A 26,801-nucleotide genomic window follows, 5' to 3' on the forward strand; every position below is an offset into this window, starting at 1 on the left:
TTGCGTGAAACAAACAATTGTTCAGCGAAACTAACCTGAAATTACACGTCTACGTTCTTTCCCAGGCTGGCGCTGAGATGGGCAGGTGCTGCAGCAGCCCGGCTGGAAGCGATGCAGCATCCAGGACGACGGAGGAAGGGGCAGAGAGGGACCTCTGCTTTCCAGGCTGCCTTTTATACTGCCTCTGGTCACCTGACATGGAACGTACCCTAACCTAATCAGTTACCTGTACCTTAATTGCAATTAACTTAATCCAATTACATGACCTGGAAAGGTCTATCTGCACAGCCCACTCTAAGATCATGTCCACTGCTGACAGACATTCTAAAACCTACTTGTACAGCTGCAAGCTTTGAACAATAGATGTTCCCCGTCAGACATGTAACACTGGTGCCTGTACCCCTGTCTTCTTTTCCATCTTTTTTGTTGTTTTGTTTTGTTTTGTTTTAAAAAATGTGGTAAAATAGACACCTTTTAATTGGACCACATTTTGTCTATCTCGACGTAGGCCTCAGTGTCATCAAGGAGACTCTCCTTGACATGCAGTCACGGCCATGATCCATCTTCAGAGCTTCTCTTTCTTCCCCAAGTTAAGTCTGTCAGCAGAGAACCCTGACCGCACCCTCTTGTGTTTTCTCCCCCAGGAGGCGCTTGGAAACAACCGTGAATTGGACCGCACTGGGAAACACAGATGAGGAAAGTCAACAACGCTTTGTCCTTCAGTGCCTGGCTCCTTTTTCAGCTCGTCTTGCGACTCCAGGCATTATGCCTGAAAAGTCTCCCGGACGCCTGTGAGGCTCTAATTCCCTGGGTCCCATTGCCATGTCTCTGGATTTGCGAAGATCCACCGCACCTTCTGTGGAACTCCCGTGTCGGTGAACTTTTGTGCCACGGCCCCTAATTCTGCCCATGGTCATCCGCACCTGCACGACTTAGGGTCCATGTTCCTTGGACGGGAAGAGACAGGCAGGAGTCGGAATGATGAACCAGCACACTGGGGCGTTTTCTCATGTAGCCCAAGTGACCCCATGGTCTTCTCGAGCTTTGGAACCAGTCGCGTCCCCTTTGACACTGCACCCGGCTCCCAGTCACTCAATCTTGTTGGCCCTCCGGCGATCTCCCGTTGGATGGATTGCTCCTGCTGAAACTCGAGTCCCCTTTGATTTGCGCTCCATTAATTATTCATGATTCAGGTTGGAAGGCCTGCTGAAGACCCCCTGTGGCCGTTCTCTGAGCTTTCCTGTCACATCGTTTCCTTCCACGCTCTTTGGTTCCTTACGGTCCTGCTCCTTCTGCTGTCAGAGGAGCAGAGAGTTGATCTTATTCATTCTGGATACGGATACTTTCTAGTTGATCTGGATAATCAAGATAACGACCCTCAACAGCGGCGGAGAGGGAGCAGCCAGTTGGTGTGTCTCAGAAAATCCCGCTGAGTTCCGAGGCCTCCTAGATGTGGAATCCTGCTGAGAGTTGTTCCCAGGTCAGAGAATGGAGAGAGCCTGTGCATGATGGGATATCCCCGCCTAGATCTTTCAGTGAGTCTCTGCCTCAGCTACTCTTAGGATCAGGGGGAGAACCATGGTGTCAGACATCCGGAAAGAAGACGGGATGAATGTTTTACCTCTGAAGTACATCCCAAATGTGGGAGTTAACTTCAGCTTTGCTGGGGTCTATTTGGCCAGTGAAACTCTGCCTGGTTCCTTCGCACATCCGGAAGCCACTTCACGGGGGGCCGTCGCAACTGGAACCACACACTTGGCATCGGCGGTTGAGCCAAATGGGGACTTGTGGTGCAAGCAACGCTCCCCACGTGTTAGCGTGCGTGAGATTCGGTTGGCGGAATTTTACTAGGTGCGTGTTGGTAGAGTGGGGCTGAGGTTTTCTTGCTCCTGTGGATGTATAGGAAGTCAAAGGTCCTGCCCAGCCCTGCGGTCCCCTCAGTCAACTCTGTTTCGGAGACGTAACGATTTGGATTGCCAACAAGTCAAGAAATGTTCAAGCCCTTGGATGTAGGGTAAAGAAAGAGAGATCAGACTGTCACTGTGTCTATGTAGAAGGGGAAGACATAAGAGACTCCATTTTGAAAAAGACCTGTAGTTTAAACAATTGCTTTGCTGAGATGTTGTTCATTTGTTGCCTTGCCTCATCCACTTTGCCCCAGCCCCCTTGACCCAACTGGGAGCTCAGAAAACCTGTGTTGTATAAAATCGAGGTTTAAGGGATCTAGGGCTGTGCAGGACGTGCTTTGTTAACCAAATGTTTGCGAGCAGTATACTTGGTAAAAGTCATTGCCATTCTCTAGTTTCAATAAACCAGGGGCACTATGCACCGTCGAAAGCCGCAGCGACCTCTGCCCTTGAAAGCAGGTTATTGTCCAAGGTTTCTCCCCATGTAACAGTCTGAAATATGGCCCCGTGGGATGTTAAAGACCTGACTGGCCCCCAGCCTGAGACCCGTAAAGGGTCTGTGCCGAGGTGGATTAGTCAAAGAGGAAAGCCTCTTGCAATTTAGATGGAGGACAGCCGCTGTCTCCGGCAGCCCCTCTTGCTTCCCTGGCTCTTAGGACCCCCATCGCAGGGTGTGAGGCACTCCCCCCATTTCGGGTTGTAAGAGCCAAACCCTCTTGCCCCCCTGGCTCTTAGTTTCCCCCATCGCAGCGGGGTGAGTCACGTCCTGCTATGCTTGGGGTAAGAGCCAGCCCCTCTTGCCCCGCTGGCTCTCAGGACCCCCATCGCAGTGGTGTGAGGCACGCCCCTTGATGCGGGTATTAAGAGCCTTCCCATCTTACCTCCTGGCTCTTAGGACCCCCATCGCAGGGGGTGAGGCACGCCCCGCCATGCGGAGAGTAAGAGCTAACCCCTCTTGCCCCCCTGGTTTTTAGGATCCGCGGTGGACTCACAGCCTGTTTATCATATTGTGAGTAATATCGTCTCCCGCTCTGGAGATTGTGAACTGTTTCACCCACCGGTGTTCACCCCGGCGTACAGAGGTTGTACACCCGTCTGTATTGGGAGTCATATCATCCTCTTCCTCTCTGAATATTAAGAACAGTATCACAGGGGTGTTTCTACTCCCTGGGATATCGCGTGTCATATCATCCTCTCCCACGTTGCAATTAGAAACAATATCAGTGGGGGCGTGTCCACCTTCTGTGATACTGAAAGTAATATCATCCTCTTCCCTCCAGGATCGTGGGAACAATATCCTTGGGGGTGTCCACTTTCTGCCATATGTGTAGTCATATCACCCCCTCCGCCTTGGAATATTATTAAGAACCATGTCACACGGGGGTGTACACTTCCTACGATGTTGGGAGTAATAGCATTCTCTTCTTCCATGAATGTTAGGAACAAAATCACCGGGTGGATGCACACCCAGTGCTATATTGGGAGTAATGTTATACTCCACCCCCTGGAGATTATATTCGGATCAATATCACCGGCTGGGTGTGCACCTGCTGCGATATTCTACGTAATATCATGCTCTCTCACTCCCTGAACATTAGGAACAATATCACAGGTGGGTGTACACCCACTGAGGTATTAGGGCATACTATTAGTATGAATTATTCCTTGTTTTTTATTAACATGAATATGAATGGCCGATATTAATATTAATATTAAGAAGTAATTGCTAATAAAAAGTTCTCAGATTATTAATATTAATATTAATTATTAGGAGCTAATATTACTATTTTCTAATGAATAAGATCCGTATCAGTTATTAATATCAGGCGTCATAATCATTAATATTAATCATGTATTGTTATTGTTAGTATAACTATTTAATATTAATTATCATTAGTATCGGTATTGATTTTAAAAATTATATTATGGGTTATTAATATTGATAATTATTAGTGTCAGTTCATAATTGAGATTATTAATTGCGGTAAGTCGCATTGCGCCATTCCACCCCTTCCTCGGCAGCTCGTTTACGACCCAAAACGGGGACACAAATGCCCCTGAGAGAGCAGCGGTATACTGGGATAGATGAAAATGCTCATGTAGTGGAGAGACGTGTTTTTGGGTACCAGCCCTTCACCTGCGTCGACCTTCTCAACTGGAAAAATAATACATCGCCCTATACCGAAAAGCCACAAGCCCTAATTGATTTGCTCCAAACTGTTATCCAGACCCATAACCACACCTGGACCGATTGGCACCAGTTGCTCATTTTCCTCTTTAACAGTGAAGAAAGGCAGAGAGTCCTCCAAGCAGCAACTAAGTGGCTAGAGGAACATGCACCAGCTGATTATCAAAACCCCCAACAGTATGGAAGGACCCAGTTGCCAGGAACCGACCCCCAGTTGGACCTACATGAAAGAGAGGAGATGCAAAGGCTAAACCGAGACAGGGAAGCTCTCTTGGAAGGATTAATGAGGGGAGCTCAGAAGGCCACAAACGTTAACAAGCTCTCTGAGGTCATTCAGGGAAAAGAAGAAAGTCCAGCACAATTCTACGAGAGACTGTATGAGGCCTATCATATGTATACTCCCTTTGATCCCGATAGCCCTGAAAATCAGCGCATGATTCACATGGCTTTAGTCCATCAAAGTGCAGAAGACATGAGAAGAAAACTGCAGAAACAGACTGGGCTTGCAGGGAAGAATCCATCCCAATTACTAGAAATAGCTAGCCAGGTGTTTGTAAACAGGTATGCAGTAAGCCGTAAGGAAAACGGCAAAGAGGATGGAGGTCAGTCCCGGCCACACGCCGACCTGTTTGTCAGCTGCAGCAATCAGAGGGGCCCCCGCAAAGAGGCAAGGGAAAGGGGGCCCTGGGAAAGAAACTCAGCTTGGCTGTCAGAGTTTGCAGCGTAACCAGTGTGCTGATTGTAAAGAAATAGGACAGTGGAAGAACAAATGCCCTCAGCTCAAAAGAAAAGAAGGTGACTCAGAGCCAGAGGCCCCGGACAAGGAGGAAGGGGCCCTGCTCAACCTGGCAGAAGGGTTCTTGGACTGAGGGAGACCGGGCTCAAGCATCCCCATTCTGACATCTGTTCAGAATGACAGTCAGGGGTGGAGACATTAACTTTCTTGTAGATAGCGGTGCTGAACATTCGCTAGTAACCGCCCCGGTCGTCCCCTTACCGAAAAAGACTACTGACGTCATCGGAGCCACGGGGGTTTCAGCAAAGCAAGCTTTCTGCTTGCCTTGGACTTGTCCTGTAGGAGGACATAAAGTCATTCATCAGTTTTGTTACATGCCTGACAGTCTCTTGAACTTTTCAGGAAGGGACTTGCTCAGCAAGCTGAGAGCCACTGCCTCTTTCACAGAGCACGGCTCTTTGCTGCTAAAGTTACCCGGAATGGGAGTCATTATGACGCTTATGGTCCCCCGAGAGGAGGAATGGAGACTTTTCTGAACTGACCCGGGCAAAGAGAAAAGACCAGCTCTGGCTAAGCGCTGGCCAAGAGTTCGGGCAGAAGAGAACCCTCCAGGATTGGCCAGTTAAGACTGGGGCCCAGCCGGTGAGGCAAAAACAGGACTCGGTCCCCAGAGAAGCCCTTCAAGGTATCCAGGTCCATCTCAAGCACCTAAGAACGTTTGGAATGATTGTTCCTTGTCAGTCTCCATGGAACACTCCCCTCCTGCCTGTTCCCAAGCCACGGACCAAGGACTACCGGCCGGTACAGGATTTGCGCTTGCTTCATCAAGCCACACTGACTTTACATCCAACAGTACCTAACCCGTCCACATTGTTGGGGTTGCCGCCAGCTGAGGACAGCTGGTTCACCTGCTTGGACCTAAAAGACGCTTTCCTTCCTATCAGATTAGCCCCTGAGAGGCAGAAGCTGTTTGCCTTTCAGTGGGAAGATCCGGAGTCAGGTGTCACTACTTAGTACACTTGGACCGGGCTTCCCCAAAGGTTCAAGAACTCCCCCACCATCTTCGGGGAGGCATGGGCTCGAGACCTCCAGAAGTTTCCTAGCAGAGACCTAGGCTGCGTGTTGCTCCAGTAGGTTGATGACCTTCTGCTGGGACACCCCACGGCAGTCGGGTGTGCCAAGGGAACAGATGCCCTACACCGCACCTGGAGGACTGTGGGTAGAAGGTGTCCAAGAAGAAAGCTCAGATCTGCCGACAGCAGGTACGTTACTTGGGATTTACTATCCGACAGGGGTCGGAACGCAGCCCGGGATCAGAAAGAAAGCAGGTCATTTGCCATCTAGCGGAGCCTAAGAGCAGAAGGCAGGTAAGAGAATTCTTAGGAGCTGTGGGGTTTTGTAGACTGTGGATCCCAAACTTTGCAGTATTAGCCAAGTTTTTGTATGAGGTCACAAGGGGGGCGGGGACGGGGAATCTTTGGAATGAGGATCCCAACAACAGCAAGTATTTCATGAGTTAAAGGAAAAACTTCTGGCAGCACCAGCCCTGAGGCTACCCGATCTGACAAAGCCTTTTCCATTGTATGCATCAGAGAGAGAAAGGATGGCAGCTGGACTTTGAACCCAAACTGTGGGGCCCTGGCTGAGGCTGGTGGCCTACCTCTGTAAACCACTAGACGGGGTTTCTAAAGGATGGCCCCCCTGTTGGAGGGTCTTGGCAGCAACTGCCCTGCTAGTATAAGAAGCAAATAAGCTGACTCTTGGGCGAAACCTGAACATAAAGGCCTCCCGTGCTGTGGTGATGAATACTAAAGGACGTCATTGGCTAACGAATACCAGGCTCACCAAGTACCAAACTTTGGTCTGTGAAAATCCCCGTATAACCATTGAAGTTTGTAACACCCTACACCCCGCCACCTTGCTGCCGGTATCAGGGAGCCCTGTCGAGCCTGATTGTGTAGAAGTGTTGGACTCAATTGACTCTAGCAGACCTGAGCTCCGGGACCAGACTTGGGCATCAGTAGACTGGGAACCACACGTGGATGGGAGCAGCTTCTTCAACCCCCAAGGAGAGAGAGGTGCAGGGTATGCAGTGATAACTCTGGACACTGTTGTTGAAACCAGGTCGTTGCCCCAGGCCACTTCAGCCCAGAAAGCTGAACTCAATGCTTTCATTTGGGCCTTAGAACTCAGTGAGGGTGAGACTGTCAACACTTACACTGATTCTCGGTATGTCTTTTTAACCCTTCAAGTGCATGGAGTGTGATAGAAAGAAAAGGGCCTATTGAATTCTGGGGGGAAAGACAGAAAATATCCACAAGAAATCTTGCAATGATTAGAAGCAGTATGGAAACCCCACAAGGTGGCAGTTAGGCATTGCAGAGGACACCAGCGAGCTTCCACCTTGCTGTGTTTGGGGAATTCCCGCGCTGAGTCAGAGGCTCGAAAAGCAGCAACTGCCCTCTTCTGGGCATCAGTGCTCCCTCAAGCACCTGATCTTGGACCTGCTTCTTCTAAAGAAGAAAGGACTTTCTCCAGGTAGAGGGAAGGACAAGTGATGGAGGAAGGATGGATTCAGTTACCAGATAGGAGAGTAGCTGTGCCACAGCTGCTAGGAGCTGCAGTTGTACTGGCTGTGCAAGAAAACACCCATCGAGGTCAGGAGTCACTGGAAAAGTTGTTAGGCCGGTATTTCTACATCTCGCCTTTGTCAACCCTTGCCAAAACGGTGAGGCAGCGGTGTGTTACCTGCTGACAGCATGATGGGAGTCAAGGTCCAGCCGTTCCGCCCGGCATACGAGCTTGTGGAGCAGCCCCCTTTGAAGGTCTCCAGGTGGACTTCACAGAGATGCCAAAGTGTGGAGGTAACAAGCATTTACTGGTTCTTGGGCGTACCTACTCTGGGTGGGTGGAGGCCTATCCAACACGAACTGAGAAAGCTGGTGAAGTAACCCCTGTGCTTCTTCGAGATGTGATTCCTAGATTTCGACCGCCCTTATGGATCGGCTCAGACAACGGGCCTGCGTTTTTGGCTGCCTTGGTACAGAAAACGGCAAAGGTATTGGGGATCACACGGAAACTACATGCCGCCTCCCGGCCTCAGAGTTCCGGAAAGGTGGAGAGGATGAATCGGACTATCAAAAATAGTACTACTGTCTTCCCCGCTGGATATTTAAAACAACAGCACAAGGGGCGTCAAACCACCTGCTAAATTGGAGGCAATGTTATCCTCTCCCCTCCTCCCCCGGCCCCGGATATTAGAGACAACAACACAGGGGTGATGTACACCCACTGCTTTATTGTGAGTAATATCATCCTCTCCCTTCTTGGATAGTAGGAACAGTATCACACTGTGCGTGTAGGCCTGTCGCGAAATTCAATGGAATGTCATCCTGCGCCTCCCTGGATATGACGAACAATATCACGGGGGATGTACAACTTCTGAGATATTGGGAGTGATGTCATCCTCTCCCCTCTGGAAGTTAGGGACAATATCACAGGGGTAGTGTACACCCTCTGGGATGTTGGGACTAATATCTCACAGATGTCTGAGAATTCCTCCTCCTGGGACTCTCAGAGGATCCAGAACTGCAGCCGGTCCTCGCTTTGCTGTCCCTGTCCCTGTCCATGTATCTGGTCACGGTGCTGAGGAACCTGCTCAGCATCCTGGCTGTCAGCTCTGACTCCCCCCTCCACACCCCCATGTACTTCTTCCTCTCCAACCTGTGCTGGCCTGACATCGGTTTCACCTCGGCCATGGTTCCCAAGATGATTGTGGACACGCAGTCGCATAGCAGAGTCATCTCTCATGCGGGCTGCCTGACACAGATGTCTTTCCTGCTCCTTGTTGCATGTATAGAAGGCATGCTCCTGACTGTGATGGCCTATGACTGCTTTGTAGCCATCTGTCGCCCTCTGCACTACCCAATCATCGTGAATCCTCACCTCTGTGTCTTCTTCGTTTTGGTGTCCTTTTTCCTTAGCCTGTTGGATTCCCAGCTGCACAGTTGGATTGTGTTACAATTAACCATCATCAAGAATGTGGAAATCTCTAATTTGGTCTGTGACCCCTCTCAACTTCTCAAACTTGCCTGTTCTGACAGCGTCATCAATAACATATTCATATATTTCGATAGTACTATGTTTGGTTTTCTTCCCATTTCAGGGATCTTTTTGTCTTACTATAAAATTTTCCCCTCCATTCTAAGGATTTCATCGTCAGATGGGAAGTATAAAGCCTTCTCCACCTGTGGCTGTCATCTAGCAGTTGTTTGCTGGTTTTATGGAACAGGCATTGGCTTGTACCTGACTTCAGCTGGGTCACCACCCCCCAGGAATGGTGTGGTGGCTTCAGTGATGTACGCTGTGGTCACCCCATGCTGAACCTTTTCATCTGCAGCCTGAGAAACAGGGACATACAAAGTGCCCTGCGGAGGCTGCGCAGCAGAGCAGTCGAATATCATGATCTGTTCCATCCTTTTTCTTGTGTGGGTGAGAAAGGGCAACCACATTAAATCTCTACATCTGCAAATCCTGCCCCTCAGTCACATTCTTTTTGTGGCTTGATGGCTTTTATTCCTTTCCGCATTTCCTTTGTGAATATTGCTTTCTTCGTTATGCCTTTATCTGGAATGAGTGACGATTCTGGGATCCTTGGTTTAGCAGAAACCTCATGACAGAATCTTCTATACCTAGGTGGCCTCTTTTAGTCTCTGAGCAATAACCATGCCATCCAGGTGGAATCACAACCATCATTTTATATACACGAAGTCCTCACTTCGTTTTGGAATTCCCTGAAAACTGACTTTATGGAAACAATGTACAGAAGGTCCTCCAACAGCATTGGTTGTTCAAAGTCGTGTAGTTATACTGTTGATGAAAAATAAGTGGTTTCACTATACATAATTTTGCTTCAAGGTGAAGTTTCCAAGAGACTTTCAAAGATGTTAAGTGAGGACATACTGTACATCAAATTCATATCCTCTTCCACAGTTCATGTGGAATTTCTTTATAAACTTCTTCTAGAGAATCTATTTAGGCAGGTTCTGTGTAGATATCCATGTCGCCGTTCCTCAATCTTGGCTTTGAGTCAAATCACCTGGGCAGCTTACACATGATGAGGACTGGTTCTCAATACCTGAGATTCTGATTTCCTTGCACCTGTGTGAGTGTGTGGATTTTTTTTTTTTTCTTTTAAAGCACCAGAGGTGGTTCCAATGACGAAGTTTTTAGAGGCATCAAGCTGCAATGAGTAAGAACAGAAATTAATTGTAATATGATTTCTTCAAATATTATCTTCAAATGCATTGTCCATCAACACCATACGAATGTTTATTATGCTGTTTTTTCTTACCATTTCGCATTTTCTATTTCCTTCTTGTCCTTTTTTTTTTTTTTTTTTTTTTTTTTTTTTTGAGTCAGAGTTTCACTCTTGTTGCCCAGGCTGGAGTTCAATGGCACGGTCTCGGCTCACTGCAACCTCTGCCTCCCATATTCAAGCAATTCTCCTGTCTCAGCCTTCCAAGTAGCTGGGATTACAGGCATGCGCTACCATGCCTGGCTATCTTTTTGTTGTTGTTGTTGTTGTTGTATTGTTAGTAGAGACAATGTTTCTCCATTTTGGTCAGGCTGGTCTTGAACTCCCGACCTCAGGTAATCCGGCCGCTTCCGCCTCCCAAAGTACTGGGATTACACGCATGAGGGACCGCGCCCAGACACCACTTAGCATTTACATTTTGCAATTGTTGAAGTTATCGATTTATACACACATCAATTGCTGCTTTGTTATACACTTGCAGATACATAAGATGGGAAATAGAAAAGAATAAAATGGGCACGGTATCCCTGAAGTTTCACATTCTGAGACTTTAAAAATATTTGCTCTTTAGAAATTTGTTTCAATAAAGAAACTGTGGTATACACACCCAATGAAGTATTATTCAGCCTAAAGAGGAAGAAAATCCTCTCCGCTGCAGACAAAATGGATGAGATTGCAGGTCTGTATATTAAATGAAATAAGCCAGGCACAGAATGTCAAATATTTCATGTCCTCACTTCTACGTAGGAAGAAAAAAGGAAACCTTGACCAGGCGTGGTGGCTCAGACCTGTAATCCCAGCACTCTGGGAGGCCGAGTCGCAGGGATCACTTGAGTCCAGGGGTTCGCGACCCGCTTGGCCAACATGGTGAAACCCCGTCTCTACGGAAAAAACAAGCAATTAGCCGGGCGTGGTGACGCGTGCCTCTAGTCTCAGCTACTCGGAGGGCTGAGGCCCAAGAAGCGCTTGAACTCGGGAGGCGGAGCTTTCAGTGAGCCCGGATTGTGCCTGTGTACTCCAACCTGGGCAACATAAAGAGACTCCATCACACACCTACACACAAAAGGAATCTCAGGAAGGTGGAAAGTATAAAGGTGGTTAGCAGACGCTAGGAAGAAAAGGGGTGGGATGGGGAATGAAGACAAGTGGATAATTGGGTCCCAAAATACAGAAAGATGGAATAAGTGAGTTCTAGTGTTTGATTGTACAGTATGAAAATTTTAGTTCACAAGAATTTCTTGAATATTTCCAGATGCTTTGGTAAGAAACTTCCTAATTTTCTCATTATGCTGGTTTTTCAGCTCTTCTCTTTCTGCTCTTGAAATCATGCTGGTTTTTTGTTTTTTGTTTTTTGTTTTGAGATGGAGTTTCGCTCTTGTTGCCCAGGCTGGAGTGTCATGGTGCAATCTTGGCTCACCGCAACCTCTGCCTCCTGGGTTCAAGCGATTCTCCTGCCTCCACCTCCCGAGTAGCTGGGATTACAGGCACGCGCCTGTAGTAGAGACGGGGGTTTCTCCCTGTCGGTCAGGCTGGTCTTCAACTCCTGACATCAGGTGATCCGCCCACCTCGGCCTCCCAAAGTGCTGGGATTACAGGCGTGAGCGACGGGCCCGGCCCATGCTGTAACATTATCTGTTGTCTGCTGTTGTTTGTTTATTTTGGAGCCCAGAAATAACTTGTCACCTGTATGTTCAAACGATTTTTAACATGAGTGGTAAGAAAGCTCATTGGTGGAAAAACAGCCTTTTCAAGAAATGGTGTTGGAGAAACTTGATTTCCACATGCAGAAGAATGAAGGTGGACACTATGTCACACCAGGTGCAAAAATTAACACAAACTGGATCAAAGACCTCACCCCAAGCGCTAAAAGAATCATTCGCCTAAAGGAAAACATTGGCCATGCTTTCATGACATCATATTGGGCAATGTTCTCTGGGATATGACACCAAAAGCATAGGCAACAAAAGAAAATTAGATTCCTTGGATTACATCGAAATGACAGACACTTTTGTGCAGCAAAATCACGGCAAACTGAGTGAAAAGATAACCCATGGATTAGGAAAAATATTTTCAAAGCATATATCTGAAAAGAGGCTGATATCCATCATACATAAAGAACAGGCAGAACTAAAGAACAAGAAACCCAAAGCATCCCATCAATAATGGTCAGAAGACTCAAGTAGACGTGTTCCTAAAGAAGATATAGCAATGGCCAATAAGCATCTAAAATGATGTTCAAAATCACTCATCATAGGGAAGCGCAAATCAAACCAAGAATGTGACACCACACATTAGGATGGATATGATAAACAAACAGGATTGGTGAGACTAGAGGGAAGTAGGAATGCTCGAATCTGATCAGAAGGAATGTAAAACCGTGAAGGAACGGGGAAAATAGTATGGCGTCTACTGGAAAAATTAGAAACAGGATGATCATATGTTGCCGCAGTTGCATTTGTGGGTACCTACAAAAAGAAGCCAGGAGTGGAAGACAGATTTGTGTACACCCATATTCATAGCAGCATTATTCACAAGAGCCAAAATGTGGAAGCAACCCAAGGGTTCGTGGACAGATGAATGAAAAAGCCCACTGCAGTTCCTTCATACAATGGAAGACTATTCAGCCTTCAAAAGGCAGGCACTTCTGGCCGGTGCGGTGGCTCACGCCTGTAATCGCAGCGTCTTGGAAGACCGAGGTGGGCGGATCACCTGAGGTCAGGAATTCAAGACCAGCCTGGCCATCTTGGGGAAACCCTGTCCCTACTGAAAATGCAAAAAATGAGATGAGCATGGAGGCGTGTGCCTATAGTCCCAGCTACTCGGGAGGATGTGGCACAAGAATCACTGGAACCCGGGAAGCGGAGGTGAGCCCAGATTGTGCCACTGTACTCCAGCCTGTGCGACAGAGTGAGACTCTATGGAAACACAAAACAAAACAAAGTCAAACGAACAAACAAAAAACAACAAAAAAAAAACAGACAGGCACTTCTGAGGCAGGCCGCAACATGGATGAACCTTGAAGACATTATCGTCAGTGAAATAAATAAATCCCAAAAGGATAAACAGGCCCAGGCTCAGTGGCTCGCACCTGTAACACCAGCACTTTGGGAGGCTGAGCCAGGCGGATCACTTCAGGTCAGGAGTTCGAGACCAGCCTGGCCAATATGGTGAAAGCTCGTCTCTATTAAAAATACAAAAATTAGCAGGGCGTGGTGGCGCACGCCTGTAATCCCAGCCTCTCGGGAGACTGAGACACAAGAATCGCTTGAACCCACGATGTGGAGGTTGCAGTGAGCCGAGATCACACCACTGTACTCCAGACTGGGTGAGAGAGAAAGACTCTGTCTCCAAAACAAAAAAAATAAACACGGTATGATTCCACTTATCTATCAAGTGTCTAGAGTAGTTAAACTCATAGAGTTGCAAACTAGAAAGGTGGCCCCCAGGGGTGGGCGAGAGAAAGGAATGGAGAGCTTGGTGAATGGGTGGAATTTCCATTTTGAAAGATAAAACTGTTCCTGAGATGATGGCGGTGATGCTTGCTAAATAATGTGAACGTACTTAATGTCATTAATCTGTAAACTGAAAAAGAGTGGAAATTGTAAATGTTTTTACTGGCCATTCTATATGAACTAATATATATTTATAATTTTTAATATTTATACGTGGTATATTTTCCCATTATAAAAGATGAAAATTAAAGCAGTTGGATGTTTAAAAAGAAAAGAAAGAAGCGAAGAATACACACCAGCTTTCTTCTGATTAGAGGAGGAGCCCCATAGTTTCTATGGACACTCACTTTTCTCTTCTTCTTGCATTATTATGAGGACATCCTTAGAGGTTGGGGAACTTGGGCGGCTTTGGCTAATGAGGAGCTCTGTGCCTGAGCCTCCCAGGCCACAGGATAGTAAATACTCAGTCTGTGCCTCCCGCCCTGCAGTGTGAGGTTGCAGTCCTGTGGTCTCCACAGCCGTCACCTGTATCAGGAGGCTCATGTCTCACCCTGTCTTCTTGCCAGCCTTGAGGACGGAGCCTGAGCCTCCATGGTGCACCACGCAGGGAGGACAGTGGACCTGTTCTCCGTGGTCATGTCCCAGCAGAGGGGAGAGGCAGTTCAGTGAGTGTAGGGAAAAGAAAGAGAGATCAGACTCTTACTGTGTCTATGTAGAAAGGAAAGACATAAGAGACTCCATTTTGAGAAAGACCTGTACTTTCAACAATTGCTTTGCTGAGATGTTGTTAATCTGTAGCTTTGCCCCAGCCACTTTGACCCAACCTGAAGCTCACAAAAACATGTGTTGTATGAAATCAAGGTTTAAGGGATCTAGGGTTATGCAGGACTTGCCTTGTTAACAAGATGTTTCCAAGCAGTATACTTTGTAAAAGTCATCGCCATTCTCTAGTATCAATAAACCAGGGGCACAATACACTGTGGAAAGCCGCAGGGAGCCCTGCCCTTGAAAGCAGGGTATTGTCCAAGGTTTCTCCCCATGTGATAGTCTGAAATATGGCCTGGTGGGATGAGAAAGACCTGACCATCCCCCAGCCCGCCCCCCGTAAAGGGTCTGTGCTGAGGTGGATTAGTCAAAGAGGAAAGCCTCTTGCAGTTGAGAGAGAGGAAGGCCGCTGTTTCCTGCCTGCCCCTGGGAACTGAATGTCTCGGTATAAAACCCGATTGTACATTTGTTCAATTCTGAGATGGGAGAAAAACCGCCCTATGGTGAGAGGCGAGACATGTTTGCAGCAATGCTGCCTTGTTATTCTTTACTCCACTGAGATGTTTGGGTGGAGAGAAACATAAATCTGGCTTACGTACACATCCAGTCATAGTACCTTTCCTTGAAATTCCTTATGAAATAGATTCTATTTCTCACATGTTCGTTGCTGACCTTCTCCTTATTATCACCCTGCGCTCCTACTACATTCCTTTTTGCTAAAATAATAAAAATAATAGTCAATAAAAACTGAGGGAACTCAGAGTCCTGTGCCGGTGCAGGTCCTTGGTATGCTGAGCGGCGGTCCCCTAGGCCCACTGTTGTTTCTCCATACTTTGTCTCTGTATCTTATTTCTTTTCTCAGTCTCTCCTCCTACCCGACTGGAAATACCCACAGCTGTGGAGGAGGAGGCCACCCCTTCAAGTGAGTGCTGAGGGATGGTCGGGAGACTTGTTTGTTTCCTCATCCTCAGGACAAACAGGAGAGTGCGGTGGGCAGATGTGAGGAGACCAATGTGCAACTCTCTGCTCAGCAGACTGTGCAGTTTATGTTCTTGGTTGTGCTGGGGGTCTCAGAAATCTTATTCAAAATTTTGCTTTCCTCCCCCACTGGTTGTCCTTTTCATAAACATCTCACCCATGATAGCAGGGAATCAGTCCCTCTAACTATTCCCTAAGAACAACAAAGAGATTATGAAGGTGATGATGAGGATAAAGAGGATGACGACAGACACCATGGCATCATGAACCCTTACTGAGGGCTTCCTAAAGGCCAGGCTCTGAGCTCTGTGCTCTATGCAGCTTGTTTCATTTCATCTACATAGTCTCCACGTTATTAGTGCACATTTCATGATGATTTTACAGACTAGAAAAAGCGCAACGGATTTTCATGCAGCTTGTACCAGATCACGAAGTCAAAAAGGGCGAAGTCCAATTTGAACCAGGCAGTCTAAGTCCAGACACATGGCATTTGGCAAGTCCTCTCCCTGCAACCAACCTGCCCTCTCAAATCCTCGTCACTCAGGCGGATGCCCCTACTCACTGTGCCCTTCCCTTTGTGGGTTCCTTGTTGACCACAGCTAGACCAGTGGGTGCCACAATCACTGTGTCATGTATAGAAAGGGCAGCTGAGATCACATCAAGGATTCCAGAAAGAATTTGCACAGGATCATTCGGGACGCATCTCTCCCTTGCCCCTGTTCCTGGCTTTCCTTACAGCTCTCAACTTCCTCAAAGGAGTCATCAATTCGGAGTTTGGCTTCCATTCCTATTGAGGAAGCTGGAAAGTGTTTCAAAAATGCTCCTCCGATGTGCCTGTGGTTAAGACCTCTGAGCTCTGCTTAAAACTCTTTGAAGCTGTGCGCGTTGGCTCACGTGTGTAATCCCAGCCCTTTGGGAGGCTGAGACAGGCGAATCACAAGGTCAGGATTTCGAGACCAGCCTGGCCAACATGGTGAAACCCTGTTTCTACTAAAAATACCAAAAAAACTCAAAAAAATTAGCCAGGCATGGTGGCATACGCCTGTCATCCCAGCTACTGGGGAGGCTGAGACAGGAGACTCCTTTGAAGCCGGGAGACAGAGGTTGCAGTGAATCGAGATCACGCCACTGCACTCCTGCCTGGGCAACAGAGCAAGACTCCGTCTCAAAAAAATAAATAAATAAAAATTACGAAAAAATGGCAAACTTCAGCCGTTAGCTCACGTACCACTTTGGAAGGGCATACCTTTAGTCACTTCACCCTTTAATCCCTTTGCTCAAGACTAAAGTTCTGAGAGGAAGACTAATCGGCTGAGTTGTGTCCATGTGGGCAGTGCAGGAAAGGATGCAGCGGGACGCTGCTCCAGGGATGTCTTTGGCTTCCATCATGGGGGAGCAGGCGCCTGGATTACCCACCCTAACAAATCTGGACAAAGGAAAACGAGGTTCTCCGAGGAAGGAGACATAGAGCCCAAGGAGCTAACCAAGAGACAAATGGTCATCCTGTCTTGTCATTTTCTTTTACACATGTGTGTACATTATCTTACACTTATCACTTTGTTTTCTTTCTCTCCTTTAATTGCACGCTGCTGCCAAAAGTTAAAATAAAATGAAAGTATTGAGATAGCTCAGTAACTGACTTTTGGTCAATTGCCTTTTCATATAGTGAACAGGTGCCCAAACGATTGTCTCTGTCACTGTGCAAATTTGCAAGCGTTTGCATGATCACTCCCACTCCCCCAATACAGAGCTGTGTTACAGCACAATTTAGTTCAGTGTTTTGCTCTCTGCAACAGGGAGGTTCTCATCCATTACACGTTGCAGTAAAAACAGGGGTACCATAAGCAACCAGCTCTTTCCTCAAAGAGGTGATGAAAGCAAAAGCCAAGTAGCTCCATGTATCCAACTTAAAAATATAAAAGTTACGCCCGTGGGCTGCAGTTGGAGCTATGGCGGCGGCAGCTGTCACTGGGCCTAGCCCGGGGTGTGGACCTGGGGACTCCCCAGAAGGGCCCGAGGGGGAGGCTCAAGGAGCGTCGGTGGAAGGCGGACAGGATGCTGAAGTTTTACAACGGCCTCTCGGAAGTGGAGGCGGTGGGACTCCCTGCGGGGACCGACCCCCTGGACCCCACTGATATGAACGGGGTACACTTCGACCCGGAAGTTTACCTAGACAAGCTTCCTAGAGAGTGCCCTCTGGCCCAGCTGATGGATAGTGAGACGGACATGGTGCAGCAGATCCGGGCTCTAGACAGCAACATGCAAACCCTGGTCTATGAGAACTACGATAAGTTCTCATAGACCCAGCCACAGAAATTGACACACAGCATAAAACTGTAAGAGGAATTGCAGGAGACCCAGAATTTCCCAAATAACCTTGTAAAAGAAGAACAAATTTGGAAGACTCACAAAAAAAAAAAATATATATATATATATACATATTATATATATATACATATATATATAAAGTTGTGTTTTCATTCAGTTGTAAATGTTTAGTAATTTCTATTGTGATTTTTCATTTAACTCATGAAAGGATATTTTTAATTTTCCAAATATATGCTTGTGTTTAGCTATCTTCTTGCTATTGACTTCTAATTTTGTGGCATTATGGTCAGGAAAATGTGGTCTGGACACTGTCAATCGTATAGTGGATTTTGTTGAGACTTCTTTATGGCCTAATATGTGGCCAGTTTTTTTTTGTTTTTTTTTTTTTTGCAAATTTGCCACATGTGGTTAAAAGGAATGTGGATTATTTGTTTTTTTTAGGAGAGTTTTTATTTTTAAATAGATAAGGTTCTCAGTGTAATTGAAATCTAACTTCAGTTAACAATATGCTAGACCTCTCAAACCTCAGGATGTTAGTCAGTGTAACAATAGACTGCTGCTGAGACGAATAAACCCTGAACTCTCAGTGGGTTGACACCCATAGCATAGTCTGGTGCAGGGCAGGGGTTCTCCTTGGGGGCCCTTGTCCAACAGTGATTCAGAGATTCTGGAGGTTTCCATCTTTTAATTCTGCCATCTCAGAGTTTTTCACTTGTAGCCATATGGATAGGAAGAGAGGGAACATAGCTCACACTTTGATAACCTTGGCCCAGAAGTGATTTCTTACATTCCTATTGGTGGAAATGCAGTCACATGGTTCCAAACTAACTGCAAATGAGGCTGGGAAATGTAGTCTTTCTGCATGTCCAGGAAGAGGAATGGTGTGAACACAGTATTGTCTTTGACACACTAAGCATGTGCTGAAGAGTTCTTACTCTCATAGGAGGTTTGTCTGTCCTGTGTAACTTTCTCAGTTTTTGCTTAGATAGTTTCAGGCAATGCTGTTTGGTGCATTCAGCTTGATGATTATTATGTCCTCTTGGCAAAGTAGTCAAGATTCCCATCAGTTTGAATGAAAGTGTTTTACAGATAGGTCAGGAAATGTTAATACTTTAAAAGGCCCTTCTATTCCTCCACTCTACATATAAGAAAAACAGAGTCCTAGAGAGAGGAGGTCATGGGTCTCACTCATGAGTGGCAGAATTGAAACCAATGTGGCACTAACTTTGCCTTTCCCCCATCATGTTGTTCTCCTTCTATCTTCACTCTGCTGATTTCTTCACTTGCTCCATACAGACCTCCCAGTGTCAAGTGTATAAGTGTGTCCAGAATTGGTGGGTTCTTGGTCTCACTGACTTCAAGAACGAAGCTGTGGACCCTCCTGGTGAGTGTTACAGTTCTTAAAGGTGGCGTGTCTGGAGTTTGTTCCTTCTGATGTTCGGATGTGTTTGAAGTTTCTTCCTTCTGGTGGGGCTCGTGGTCTCGCTGGCTCAGGAGTGAAGCTGCAGATCTTCACGGTGAGTGTTACAGCTCTTACGGCTGCAGATCTGGAGTTGTTCATTTCTCCCAGTGGGTTCATGGTCTTGCTGGCTTCAGGAGAGAAGCTGCAGACCTTCTCGGTGAGTGTTACAGCTCATAAAGTCAGTGTGGACCCAAAGAGTGAGCAGCAACAAGATTTATTGCAAAGAGCAAAAGAACAAAGCTTCCACAGTGTGGAAGGGGACCCCAGTGGGTTGCCACTGTTGGCTCGGGCAGCCTGCTTTTATTCTCTTACCTGGCCCCACCCACATCCTGCTGATTGGTCCATTTTACAGAGAGCCTGAGTGGTCTGTTTTGACAGGGCACTGATTGGTGCGTTTACAATCCCTGAGCTAGACACAAATGCTCCCCACGTCCCCACTAGATTAGCTAGATACAGAGTGTCCACACAAAGGTTCTCCAAGTCCCCACCCTAGTAGCTAGATACAGAGTGTCAATTGGTGCATTCATAAACCCTGAGCTAGATACAGGGTGCTGATTAGTGTGTTTACAAACCTTGAGCTAGATACAGAGTGCCAATTGGTGTATTTCCAATCCCTTACCTAGACATAAAGTTCTACAAGTCCCCACCAGACTCAGGAGCCCAGCTGGCTTCACCCAGTGGACCCAGCACAGGAGCTGCAGGTGGAGCTGCCTGCCAGTCCCTCTCCATGCACCCACACTCCTCAGCCCTTGGGTGGTCGATGGGACTGGGCGCCATGGAGCAGGGGGCGGTGCTCATCGGGGAGGCTTGGGCCGTACAGGAGCCCACAGAGGGGGGAGGCTAAGGAATGGCAGGCTGCAGGTCCCGAGCCCTGCCCCGCAGGGAGGCAGCTAAGGCCCGGTGAGAAGTCGAGCACAGCAGCTGCTGGCCCAGGTGCTAAGCCCCTCACAGCCCCGGCCGGCAAGGACAGCCGGCAGCTCCTAGTACAGGGCCACCAAGCCCACGCCCATCCAGAACTCCAGCCGGCAGGCAAGCAGCACACGTAGCCCCAGTTCCAGCTCATGCCTCTCCCTCCATGCCTCCCTGCAAGCTGAGGGAGCCAGCTCTGACCTCGGCCAGCCCAGAAAGGGGCTCCCACCATGCAGCCGTGGGCTGAAGGGCTCCTCAAGTGCTGCCAAAGTGGGAGCCCAGGCAGAGGAGGTGCCGAGAGTGAACGAGGGCTGTGAGGGTTGCCAACACGCTGTTACCTCTCATAAGGAGTGATTAATCTGAGCTTCTCCAGAAAGTCCATTCCTGGTAGGCACTGGGAATAAGAAATCTCAGAGTATAAAAAAACATCAAGTGGTAGCACTTTTGTGAGTGGCTCCCAAATTAGATCCTTTACCTTTTTTTCATGAAGCACAGTTGCCCAAAACACGCTTAGCCTGAGGTGAAGCACATATTAGAGAAAAGTTCTCTCTATAGCATTATGTATTACTCAAATGAGCATTAAAAAGAGGAGACGGGACATGCTCTCTCTAGCTATTATTACCTGCACTATAGAGTTGACATACACAAGCTCATTATTGCATTATGTTTTATTCAACAAAATAACTTTAATGTTGAAGCTTAAATTGAATTCGCTAAAACATCTTTGTCTCCAGCATAGTGTGCCTCAAGTGTCTCCTTGGTGCCTGAATTTTCTCCAGAATTATCGTGCTGAAACTATGGAAATGGTGAAATTATATGCAATCTGCAAAACAATGTGGCTATAACGTGGTAATTGGCCTTCCACATAATTAAAGGAACATTTCCTCATCAGAGCTGTTCCATCAGAGACCCAAAGGCTATCGTTGTACAAATCACCCACTTAGGAAAACCTTTATTCCCAGTAGCCTATAAAAATCTGCTTATGCAAACAGATTTGCTTATTCAGTAACATTAATGGCTTCTCATAGTTAAAAAGTCATCAATGTGATTGACCTATAATCTGCTTCCTCTGTGACCAAGTGTCATTTTTATTTTGACAGTTAGGAGCCTTTTGACTCTTTCACAGCTGGCATGAAGGCACAGGGAGGGAAATCTCAAAAACCAACAACCTGTGTATTCCCAGCCTATTAATCAATAGAAAATCACTTCAACTGGATTAGGGTCTTGTACCTGGCAGAAAGGCTCTTATGGACATTGGAATTGGATTTTTACACTTGATATGACACCTCCTTGAGTCAGATCAGATTCGTGTTTGATAGACTCTTGCCGAAAAATTGCTCCAGGGTCTGTGCAGTAGCTAAAGCCTTTTTATTGTTGTTGTTTTAAAAGCAGCATTAAATGTTTTCATGAAGACCTTCCCACCAGTGATTTTATTGGGAATATGGTCTTTAGCTCTGGTCCTGAATAACTCACACTGAGGAAACCTCTAACAAGTGTTTTATTGGAAGATGTCTGATGGATGGTTGGTTTTAATAACAAATCTCTTCCCTTTTTCTGTCCCCTGTGTTCTATTCTCCTTTCTTACACATTATTCTGGGAGGATTCACCTATTCCCAAAGTCCTTTCCTCTTTATTTCCATTCCAGAGCTCTCTGTATAACTCCAGGCTGATGAATCCAGCTGCCCAGTTGTTATCTCCACTTGGCTGTCTGTCTTGCATTGACCTCATCTTACCTTTCCTCTCCTGATTTCCTCTTCTGCCAGGGCTCACCACGTCAGATTCACACCACCATCCACCCAGCTTCCAAATCACCTGGGCCTCCTCCTTCATTCCTCCCTCTTTCTCAGTCAAGTTAGTCTACTGTCTCCTCTCCATCCTCACTGCCACAGCCTTGGTCCAGCCAACCATCTTGTCTCACTTGGCGTATTGCAGCCTCCTACCTGGTCTACTCACCACCCACTCTCCTCCAGCCAGACTGCTCTTCTTCTAGCACAAAGTGGATCATTACTCCCCTGCATAAAAACATCTACTGTCTCCCTTTCTCTACAGGATAGACACGACAAAGAGCCTTTAAGATTTGGCTCCAACTTACCTCTATATTACTCACTTTTTACAATTATATGAACATCTCTCAGCTCCTCACCCTCTCACGTCTCGATTTTTACACATGCTCTTCCCTCTGCTGAGAATGATCTTCCACACCTCTCCTATCGACCTGGCTAGTTCCTACCATTTTCTAGTCTTCAACTGAGGAGTCCTGTGGTGGAGAAGGATTTCTCACCACCTGATATAGATTGCATGCCCACCCACCTCCGAGCTTTTTCTTTTTTCTTTCTTTTTTTTTTTTTTTTGAAAGAGTCTCGCTCTGACCATGCAAGCTGGAATGCAGTGGTGCGATCTTGGCTCACTGCAATCTCCACCACCCGGGTTCAAGCAATTCTCCCACCTCAGCCTTCTGAGTATCTGGAATTACAGGTGCCCCCCACCACATCTGGCTAATTTTTTTGTATTTTTAGTAAAGACAGGATTTCACCATGTTGGCCAGGCTGTTTTCGAACTCCTGGCCTCAAGTGATCCACCCACCTTGGCCTCCCGAAGTGCTGGGAATACAGGCATGAACAACTGCACCTGGCCGATTGGGTACCCCTTCTATGTGCTCCCATTGCCCCAGGCATACTGTCACCATAACTCTTACCATTCTGAGTTGAAAATGATTTTTTTTTTTTGCTTTTTATTTCTCTCATTAAATGCAAAGCTTATTGAAAAGAGGACAGTGGTTGTTCACTGTTGTACTCCTAACCTTTGACTCAGTGTCCTTAGGTTGGCTCTACAGCTGTGCACACATGTTCAGACATTGGAGCACATCTTGTCTAGCACCTCTTTTGTGGTGGCTTAGAGAAAAGTCAGTAGGTACTTCCCCAAGGATGAAACAGAAGCTTCACCTAAAGCAGTTCTTCAACTTCAGCCTGCATTAGAATCCTCTGAGACCTTGTTAAAAATACCATCTCCTGGATCCCACTCTTCAAGAGTCGGTGAGTTGCTTCATCATCAAAATATACACAGAATTCAGGCAGTCTTCAGCCCCAGCCTGGTCTGAACCTCTGTGGACTCCCACCTGCAAAATGTCCCTGCTGGTCTCCTTGCTTCTGCTCTTACCTTCTTATTACCCATTCGAGTAGCCGGGGTGATCCTTTTTAAAAAATTTTTTAAATTTTTTTGTGATGAAGTCTCACTCTGTTGTCCAGGCTGGAGTGCAGTGGTGCTATCTCAGCTTGCTGCAGCTCTATCTCCTGGGCTCAAGCAATCCTCCCACCTCAGTCTCCTGGGTAACTGGGACCACAGACATACACCACCACACCCGGCTAATTTTTGTATTTTTTGTAAAGACACGGTCTTGCTGTGTTGCCCAGGCTAGTCTTGAACTTCTGTGTGCACCCACCTCAGCCTCCTGCATTTTTAGGAGGCCCCTCTTGTAGGGATTTTGATCCAGATGCCTGGGTGCCTCATGTCTCCTCCCATCTCTCTCTGTCTTTCTGTCTCTGTCTCTCTCTCTCTTTCTCTTTGCCTTATAGCTGCCCTGGGGTGTAGACTCTGCCTTAGGCATCCCTCTGGCTCTTGTTTGCTTTTATACTGAGGCTGCTTTAAATTGCACCTTGATCTGAAGCCTTGGGCTTCTGTTCCTATTCCTTGCTTTTGTTGGAAGGGCCGTGCAGCTTCTTGACAAATTGCAAAGGTGCCCACGAGTTTCCAAGTCCCCAAGAACCAAACCAGATGACAAACAAGGATGCAGTCCACAGCTGGGGAGACAGATTTCATGTCCACACAGAGACTCCAAGATGCTGAACTGAAATCCACCTCGAAACCTGTTTTCTCTCTCATTTAAGTTCATTGTCACCTGGGGGCTTGCAGGGCAGAGCTGGTGACCATTCTCAGGGCAAAGATGCTTTGAAATGTCAACTGAGAATGGTGTGGTGGTTGACAGATGGCACGTCAGAGCATAGATTAACATGGAAAGAGAAATTCACCCCTTGGGGGGAGTGTGTGAGGCTGGCAGCCACACAGAGGGCTTTTCCTGTGAGCTCTTGCATAGATGCAAACAGCCAGGAGGTTTTGCTTTCTGATCCTAAGTGGAAGCATGTTCTTCCCTGCACATTGCCGCTCTGCAGCAAATGTTTATTCCTGTTGCATTGATTAAAAGTGCTTACCAGGCCGGGCGCGGTGGCTCACGCCTGTAATCCCAGCACTTTGGGAGGCCGAGGCAGGCAGATCACAAGGTCAGGAGATTGAGACCATCCTGGCTAACACGGTGAAACCCCGTCTCTACTAAAAATACAAAAAATTAGCCGGGCATGGTGGCGGGCACCTGTAGTCCCAGCTACTTGGGAGGCTGAGGCAGGAGAATGGCATGAACCCAGGAGGCGGGGCTTGCAGTGAGCCGAGATTGTGCCACTGCACTCCAGCCTGGATGACAGAGCAAGACTCCGTCTCAAAAATACAAAGTGCTTACCGAAGTGGTTTGAGGGCAGCGGTGACAGTGTGAGTTATGGCTCTGCCGGCTGCCAGTGGAGCCAGCCTCTCTGCACGGCCGTGCAAGGGTGTTTTGAAAAGTGGCTCAGCCGGCCAGGAGTGACTGGCTGTAAATATTGCTGCCACAACATCTTGTAGCCTGATTGGGGCCGTGTTTGCAGAACCCCTAAACCACTACACTTGTTCAGGCTTAAAAATAAGCTTACTTTTTTTTGTTTGTTTTGTTTTGTTTTATGAGATGGAGTCTAATTCTGTCACCGGGTTGGAATGCAGTGGCATGATCTCGGCCCACTGCAACCTCTGCCTCCTGCGTTCAAGTGATTCTCCTGCCTCAGGCTCCCGAGTAGCTGGGACTATAGGCGTGTGCCATCATGGCCAGCTAATTTTTGAATTTTTAGTACAGACGGGGCTTCACCTTTTTGGTCAGGATGGTGCGATCTCTTGACCTCGTGATCTGCCCGCCTTGGCTTCCCAAAGTGCTAGGATTACAGGCGTGAGCCACCGTGCCTGGTCAAACATAAACTTACTTTCTTACCTCTTCTGCTGAACTCTATGTGCTTCTTTTCGCAACTTCTGCTGAACTCTATTTTGCTTCTTTTTCCTGGATAAGGCTCTTGTTTATCCAGAAGAACTTTTAGCAACAAAGTTACCCAATGCCTTTCCCTAGTCTCTCCTTGCAACTGACTCTCAGTGGTGGGGGGGGGTGGGTAGGAGGAAATCCTTGACAGAACCAATTTACATGACTGTTTGGAGGACTCTCACTAGCCCCAGGAGGTGTTTACATTTTTAAATTGGTTACTAGTGTCAGAATGTTTCATGAGTAAGAGCACAGCCTCTAAGTTGGATACCCTGAATTTAAGTCTCAACATGGCCATTTTGTATATAAGCAGAGGACGGATTTGGGGACCCAATGGATCTACCATGACATGAACTTGGACCAACATTCACCTGAACTCCAAAATGCCTATTCTGACTGGTAGACCCTAGTCTCGCCCTAGTGCCAGTTCAGAGCCTGTGTCCAGTGGTCTTGCACAGGTCCCATTAGTTCTTTTTCTCCTATTCAGTCATCCTGGTAAAGGCTGTGTATTCCCTTGGGGACAGGTTGGGAGAAAGATTGACAGTATAAATTTTTGGCAGTGGAGCAGAGTCCTTTCTGGAGGGGACCTGGCTTCCCATTCAGACAAGGGACTCCAGGTCTGTGAACTGGCTTATGTCTGGGAATTGACGGGGGACTGTGACTCTGTTTTTATGATTCAGATTAGACTTCTGCTCACCTGACCTAGAATTCTTCTTCAAACACAGATCCAGTAAAAATGTGGCAGGCTTCTTATCTATTTCAGTTCTAGGAAAGCCACGATCAGCCGGCACCATAGGTCTCTGCGAGTCAGGCTATTCTGGTTGCAGCTTTGACTCTGCTGTCTTTTATGGTAACTGCATCCACCTTGCCTTTGGGGATTGAGTGCTCTGATCACTTGACCCCAGCCCCTGTACTGTGCGTATGTCACTTACCCTCTTTATACCTCAGTCTCCTCCTCTATAAAATGGGCATCCTCATTGCACCCACCCCCAGGGCTGCTGTGAGGTATAGATGGATTAGCATATGGAAAGTAATAGAAGAGGGTCTCAAAGCCCATGTGTCGTTATCAGAATTATTTCGTGACAGGGGAGAGCTGGAGGAGAGAGGAAGGTGCTGAGCAGACCCACGTGCTCTCCCACCAGTGTTTCCTGAGCACCCACTATGTGCTGCCCACTGTGAGAGCTGTTAGGGTTGAAATAGGAAGAACAGCAGGATAGGGGCTGCCATCAGGAGCTTAGTGGGGAGACCGTTGTGCAACATGGTTACAGTGCTTGGGGTGGGGAAGCCCAGGGACTACAGGGGCCTAGGATCCAGGGCAGAATCATGGAAAGGACACAGCCGCCCCAGCCTCCCCTGCCTCCCCTGCCTCCCTGACCTCCTCTGTTCCCTGGCCTCTCCTGCCTTCCTGGCTTCCCCTTCCGCCCCGGCCTCCCCAGTCTCCCCTGTCTTTCCTGCTTTTGAGGTGGGCCAGGAGCTGCTGGTGCTCACTTAGCCTGTCCTGGACTCTGGGTGTAGCACTTCGATGTCCAGAAAATACCCCCGGGTTCAGCTTATCACACAGCCAAGAAAGGAGCTCCACACTGACACTAAGGGTGCATCCTGGGCTCATTCATCAGGGCATGCCTCCAAAATATTTCTCCACGTCTCCTCCCTTT

At 47.4% G+C, this 26,801-nt stretch overlaps 3 pseudogenes, besides 1 other annotated feature; all 3 read left to right on the forward strand.

Moving 5' to 3' along the window:
• Nucleotides 1-26,801, forward strand: part of LOC124901865 (translation initiation factor IF-2-like) — a 451,468-nt pseudogene that overhangs the window by 417,903 nt on the left and 6,764 nt on the right.
• On the forward strand, nt 8,353-9,321 carry OR7E96P (olfactory receptor family 7 subfamily E member 96 pseudogene; annotated as a pseudogene).
• VPS51P16 (VPS51 pseudogene 16) lies at nt 17,293-17,641 on the forward strand (annotated as a pseudogene).
• Nucleotides 24,657-25,157: an enhancer, noted in NCBI's record as "H3K4me1 hESC enhancer chr8:7913805-7914305 (GRCh37/hg19 assembly coordinates)". NCBI's record gives its function as "activates a minimal SCP1, AML or CMV promoter by ChIP-STARR-seq in primed H9 embryonic stem cells {active_cell/tissue: H9 hESC(primed)}" and the evidence as "EXISTENCE:reporter gene assay evidence [ECO:0000049][PMID:30033119]".

Source organism: Homo sapiens, chromosome 8 (assembly GCF_000001405.40).
Source record: "Homo sapiens chromosome 8, GRCh38.p14 Primary Assembly".
Classification (NCBI taxonomy): domain Eukaryota; kingdom Metazoa; phylum Chordata; class Mammalia; order Primates; family Hominidae; genus Homo; species Homo sapiens.